The sequence below is a fragment of the Homo sapiens genome, chromosome 15 (genome assembly GCF_000001405.40).
Source record: "Homo sapiens chromosome 15, GRCh38.p14 Primary Assembly".
In the NCBI taxonomy this organism is placed as follows: Eukaryota; Metazoa; Chordata; class Mammalia; order Primates; family Hominidae; genus Homo; species Homo sapiens.
In genome coordinates this window covers 89,497,569-89,504,707 of record NC_000015.10, presented here as the reverse complement: position 1 = coordinate 89,504,707, position 7,139 = coordinate 89,497,569, and positions in this window count along the sequence as shown.

Sequence of the window (7,139 nt, the reverse complement as noted above, 5' to 3'; positions counted from 1 at the left end):
AATATCCCTCAATTTGAGTTTGTCTGCTGCTTCTGCGTGATTAAATTCAGGGTATGCATTTTTGGCAGGAATAGCACATTTGGGATTGTGTCCTTCTTGGAGCAGCCCATCAGGGAGCAGCACATGATGTCCAGTTCCCCACTATTGCTGTTCTTATTTTTGATCCCATAAGTTGTCATGGAAGAGAGTTTTGCAGAGAGACCTACACCCTTTCCCCTCACTCCACAAGCCACCTACACTGAAGATCTCCCATGAGTATGGGGAGGCAGCCCTGTCTGTGGCTTTGAGGGACTAGAGATGATGGAGGCATGTCCAGAGCTGCTTCCCGGGGCCCCTAGCCCATTCCCCCAGCCCTAATCCCCGCTCCCAACTCCAGGGAGGGCGTGGGACCCCCTCTCCTGGGCCCTGCCTTTGCAGACTTTTCAGAGAGCACCAGAGGGGAATGCCATTACCCACCGTCATAGAAGCAGCACCAATTATATTTGTGACATTTTTCAGTTTACAAAAGACTTTCCTATTGCTTCTTTTCTTTTTATTTTTCTTTTTTTCTTTTTTTTTGAGATGAGGTTTCACCATATTGCCTAGGCTGGTCTTGAACTCCTGGGCTCAAGCAATCCTCCTGCCTCAGCCTCCCAAAGTGCTGAGATTGCAGGCCTGAGCCATTGTGCTCAGCCCCCATTCATTTCTAGTGGCAAATAGTAAAAGCTGCCACTTCATCAAGTACATACTACCAGTCTCGGGGTTAAAAGCATCATTATGCATTAAGGTCATCCCAGGTACTCCTGTCACCCTCTGTATGGATGGGGAAACCAAGGCCCAGAGAAGTTAAGCAGCTTGCCCAAGGTCCCCCAGCTAGGAAGTGGCAGGGCTGGGACTGGAGCCCGGGCCTCCTAGAGCCTCTGGGTCACTGTGCTAAGCACCAAGCTGCATGGTCTTTGAGCATCACAGCAAAATGAGAGCTGAGCAGCACAGACACGGAGGCACCCATTTGCAAATCAAGGAAATCAGGCCCAGACAGGGGGTGTGATCTGACAAAATTTGTGAAACTGGGACCAGCCCCAAGAACTTCTGAGTCCTGGCCTAGTGTCTCGCCACAGCCTCAGGCTGCGTGTGGGACCAAGGCCAGAGATGTCAAGGATGCAAACAGTCATCTATCAAGAGGGATGAGTAGAGAGAAGGGTGATAGCAGGGACAGTCCCAGCACCACGCCCTCAACACAGCCACACCAGAGCAGGGGAGACTCCACCTCACCTGGAAGAAAGACAGCCTGAACCACCTTTGCCTCGAAATCCATCTCCCTGCCTGCCAACGTGGCTACCACACCCTGCCTCTCCCTGGCTGGGGAAAGAACCATCGCGTCCCAGCCGTCAGTCATCCCTGCTTGTCAAGGCACACACATTTTAGGAGGAAGAGGCCGGTTCCTTAGGAAAACCCCTGCCTGGCCTGTTAGACTTGAGCAGCAGGTTTCTTAAACCCCCATCTCAGAGGACAAGGCAAGAATTCCACCTCTGGGTTGTCATCTGAAGTACCAAGCTGGGGTGGGGAGAGGGAGGTAGCCTGGAATCATGTGGTAGGGCATACATGAGACAAGAAAAGCCAAAGGGCAGAGGGTGAAGGTCTACCTATTATCTGCCCTGCAAATCCTAGATCAAAGTCCACCTCTTCCATGAAGTCCACCCTGATCACCCCAGGGCCCATCAAGCTCTCCTCAGGTATACAGGAAAGTGCTCATTCTGCTTTAACCACTGGGGCAAACTTGTATCTCCTTTTCTATGGTGCAAATCTGGGGGGCATGCTTATATAGTTATTTGGGCCTGATATGGAGCTGTGTGCAGTGGGTGCTCCGTACATGTTTTAAATAACTGAATAAATTGAAAGAATCCATTCATCCATTCATTCCATTGGAAAAATAATTAATGGGCAACAACCGCAAGCTAGGATCTCTTCTAGGTGTCCTTGCCCTTGGGTGCTGATGTTCTAATGTAGGAAGACACCATAGACAGATACGAGAAGCGCTAGGAAGAAACAGTGTATGAATGCTTGACGTGGAGGTTGGGATAGGAGAGAGTGGGGAGAGAGCCCTCCACCCTCCCGCTGTCTCATCAATCCCCTCTAGCCCCAGCCCCCTTTACCCACAAGGACAGACACTCCGCAGAGCACCTGGGCCTTGCCTGAGGTGGGCGGGCAGGCTGCTGGCCATGCCTTATGTGAGCTGGAGACAGAATGTTCTGGGAGGGGACATTTTTCCTAGGCTTCTGGAATAGTGGCCATTTTTTCTTCCAGGAGCACCAGAAATAAAACTGCCGGCCACCCAGGGGAGAAACTGAGAGCTTGGCCTTTACTAATACCAAGGGCAGTTGAGGAAGGGGACAGCTGCCTGGGGTGTTCAGAAAAGGGCAGTCACAGCTGGGCGTGGTGGCTCACGCCTATAATCCCAGCACTTTGGGAGGCCGAGGCTGGCGGATCACCTGAGGTCAGGAGTTCAAGACCAGCCTGGCCAACATGGTGAAACCCCGTCTCTACACAAATACAAAAATTAGCTGGGCATGGTGGTGGGTGCCTGTAGTCCTAGTTAGTCGGGAGGCTGAGGTGGAAGAATTGCTTGAACCCGGGAGGTGGAGGTTGCAGTGAGCCGAGATCATGCCATTGCATTCCAGCCTGGGCAACAGAGTGAGACTGAGTCTCAGAAAAGCAAAGCAAAGCAAAGAAAAAAGAGAAGAGAAGAGAAAAGAAAAGAAAAAGAAAAAGGGCAGTCACATCAAAATGCTGTGGGCTGGGACTAGGGCACCGGCAGATGAACTGATTTCCCCGCCTCCCTCCATGGGGCCTTCCTTGGCCGCTCAGTGTACATTGTACTCCTGGCCTCCTCTCTCCCGCTTTCCTCCCCTCTGCTCCACACAGCATGTATCACCCTCCCACATGCTGTCTGCTTTACCTATCTATTGTTAAACACAGTAGATAAGTAAGGTACATACTACCAGGTTGTTTGCCAACCTTCCCCACCATTCGTAGAATGCCAGCTCCACCAGGACTAGGATTGTTGCTTCATTTGTTCACTGCCATGTCTCAGCACCTGAAACAGTGCCTGGCACATACTAGGTGCTCAAAGAATATTATTCATTCCTTCCTCAATCCTTCAAGAACACTCCCCAAGTGCCTCTTCTGTGCCCCCACACTATACTGTGAGCAGGGGACAGATTTATAAATAAGATGTTACCCCTGTCTTAACAGAGTTGATGGACCCTCTAGGGAATGAATGACTTCAGAGGGTGGTGTGCTCCCCACCCCCCTCATCCCAAAAGCTCTCTGTCCTAGCCCAACTTTCAACTTGGACCTCCAGTAACTGGGCCTGTAGAGCCTGCAGAGGTGGTGCTAGCAGTTGCTACTGCTGTCTGTGGTCTCATCTTCTCAAATATTATGCAGGGGGCACTAGGAGAGGGCTTCACTGTCTCCGGGTGGTAGGACCTCACACAGGGGACAGGTGCCATGATCGATGTGGCTGGGAGGATGCTGGGTGTGGGAAAGAGAGAAGAATGTGGAAAGGAAGAAGAGGGCATGCTGGGAGGAGAGGCAGAGGAAGCCGAAGAGGGCAGCCTGCAAACCCCACACAGGATGAGACACAGTGAATGTGGTTGAGGTCACTCCAGGATCAAGGGTGAGGCCTTTCCTGGGTGACTTAGGTCCTGGCAGGGCTGCAAGAGGCTGTGAAGCAATGCACTCGGCTTGTCCAACCAGAGAGAAGGCTGCATGTGAGTGGGGAAAAGCAACAGAGGGGCTAGCTCCTCTGGGCTGGGGGGCACCTTGCAACTAGAAGCAGCTTTGGAAATGACCCATTCACAATCTTCATTTCACAGGTGAGGACGCAAGCCCAGAGAGGCTAAGAATTTGCCTGAGATCACCAGCAGAGGGAGACAGAAACTGGACCCACACCAGGCCAGGACTCCTTCCACCATCCTACACTTACCTGCCTCAGTTCTTCAACCTTGATTACCTATCTTTCTCTGCAGAATCTCAAGTGGCACATGCTTTTCAATTGTTCCAGGCACTAGGAAAAAAATGAACAGGAACTGAGGGCATGTCACATGCCAGGCACTGTGCTGGGCTCTTCGCCATGCTGTATCTCAGAATAAGTCTCACCAGCTGGGTGCAGTGGCTCACGCCCGTAATCCCAGCACTCGGGGAGGCCGAAGTGGGAGGATCACTTAAGCCTGGAAATTCAAGATCAGCCTGGGCAATATAGCAAAACTCCACCCCTACAAAAATACAGAAAACATTAGATGGGCATGGTGGCACAGACCTGTAGTCCCAGCTACTCAGAATAAGTCTCACCAAGACCCGAGGGGAGATAACTGTCTCGATTTTACAGATGAGAGAGTAGAGACTCAGAGAGGTTGACAATTTGCCCAGGGTCACACAACTACTCAAGAAGCAGAAGTAAAACCAGGGACGTCAATGCCTAGCTTTCCCTCTGCTCCCCCTATTCTGCAGGGGTCACGCCACCCAGGCCCTCAGGCTGTGGAGGCTCTGACAGTTGGTCTTGCCGCAGAGAAAGGGATGAAGAGAAGACTTCTGGACTGGAAGAGGCTCCCTGGGCCCCTTCCTTGGTTGGTGATTGCTGGGGCTCACTGAGGTCAAGAGAGACCTAGCAGCTTCCTGGAATAAAACAAAGGGAGAAATACCATAAAGGGTTAAATACTATGGTATGTTGATATACTATAAACAAATAATTTTTTCTTTTTTCGAGATGAAGTCTTGCTCTGTCGCCCAGGCTGGAGTTCACTGCAACCTCCACCTCCCGGGTTCAAGAGATTCCTCTGTCTCAGCCTCCCGAGTAGCTGGATTACAGGCGCCTGCCATCACAGCCAGCTAATTTTTGTATTTTTAGTAGAGACGGGGTTTCACCATGTTGGCCAGGCTGGTCTCAAACTCCTGGCCTCAAATGATCCACCCGCCTCAGCCTCCCAAAGTGCTGGGATTACAGGTGTGAGCCACTGTGCCCGGCCAGGACTTGTTTTTGAATGTTAATTCATGATGACCTATATTAGTTGAGTGGCCCAGAAATGTAACCCAAGAAAAAAACCATCTGATAACAGTGTCTCCCTTGAACCTTGTATCCCCTTTGTAGTCTGAAGCCCATCGTTTGTACCTTGAGTCTACCAAATATGAAGGTCAAGGGCAAACGGCCTTCTTGTGCTGGCTGTGGGTAGTGACCGTGCTTGGCTGTGGCTCCAGGTCTGTCCCACTGAGCCTCTGCAGGGCTTGTGAGTCAGCGTCTCTCTCCTGGACCCTGTACCCTGCCCCATCAAGGAGTCCCCCAAGGGGGTCCCGGGTTCCAGCACCACAGGTGTGCTAGGGGACTCTGGAGGAGGTCTGGATGGGAGGGCAGTTCTCACAATGAGCAAGACACCCCGGCTTCCCTATCCTTTAAGCAGGCCAGCCTGGTGAGCAGGTCTTCCACCTGCCCCCTCCCGGCCCAGGCTTCAGGGACCACGCCACCCACTGCCCTCTATCCCATAACGCCACTGCTCCTGTGGGGAACCTAGATGCTCATGAATCTACTTGCAGCAGCCTCCCCCACCCCAGCCCTTGTCTCCCTCCCTCCACTTACTCCCATTGCCGTGTACTTGAAGTTTTTCTCCCCAGCAGTGAATGCACATGCACGAAGTCAAACCCTCCTTCTCGCTCCTTCCAGAGGGGACAAGCAGAATGGCACAGTAGAAAGACTACAGCCTTTGAAATCAGACAGCCCAGGGTTTGAATCTCCAGCAAGTTCCTTAGCCAATCTGAGAACTCAGGTTTTTCAACTGTAGCATGTACCTACAATGTCCACTTCACAAGTGTTTAGTTGAGAATTTAAATATATATCAAAAGGATCCGGCAACCGCAGGAACTTAATAAATGGTCCCTATTGCTGGTATTGCTCATGCAGTGTCTGGCTGCTTCTTTGCCAAGGGAGTGGGGATACCCTGGTACCCCAAGCTGGCACAGTGTGGCCACACTCAAGTTCCAAGCACCCTGATTAGGTGCTTAGCCTCAGATGTTATACATGGCATTAGTGGCTTTTACAAATCTGGGATTTCAACTGGCAAGATTTTTTAAAGCCAGCATTGGCAAGAGTGCATGGGAAAAGTCACTGACCCCTGGCTCACAGGGTGCATGCTTTGTCTCGTAAAATCTTTCTAGGGGAACATCTAGAGATATGTATTGAAACAGCTCTGCCTCCAGGAATTCACAGAAAGTTGTGCAAAGACTTACATATCTGGATGTTCATGACAGCATGATTTGTAATACTAAACAAATAAAAAATGACCTCATCGCTCGTCACCTAACACTAGGGATTGTCTAGATAAAGCACAGTATATCCTGCTATAAAAGTTATGTTGTGGCAGGCTGGGTGTGGTGGCTCATGCCTGTAATCCCAGCATTTTGAGAGGCTGAGGTGGGAGGATCACTTGAGCCCATAAGTTCAAGACCACCCTGGGCAAGATAGGGAGACCCCATCTCTACAAAAAAAAAAAACTTAGCCGGGCGCGGTGGCGCACGCCTATAGTCCCAGCTACTCAGGAGGCTGAGGCCAGAGAATGGTGTGAACCCGGGAGGCGGAGCTTGCAGTGAGCCGAGATCACCCCACTGCACTCCAGCCTGGGCAACAGAGCGAGACCTGTCTCAAAAAAAAAAAAAAAAAAAAAAAAAAAATTAGGTGGGCCTGGTGGCACATGCCTGTGGTTTCAGCTAATTGGGAGGCTGAAGTGGGAGGATCACTTGAGCCCAGGAGGTCAAGGCAGCAGTGAACCATGATCAAGCCACTGCCCTCCAGCCTGGGCATCAGAGCAAGACCCTATCTCAAAAAAATAAATAAATAAAAAAGAAAAAGAAAAAGAAAAAAAGTTGTAGAAGTATAATATGGGAAGGTGTTTACAAAATATGAAAGGAGTTAAAAACGCTATAAATTAGTATGATCGTTTGAAACACTCCCCCTGCTCCCCTCCAGCCCCTCTTCAATGAGCTAGGAAAAGACTAGAGTACATACACCAAAATATTAGTATTGCCTCTGGGTGGTGGGATTATGAGTGATTTTTACTTTCTTCTTTGTGTTTTTCTGTATTTTCCAAATCTCTACAATTATCTCTGTATTTTTA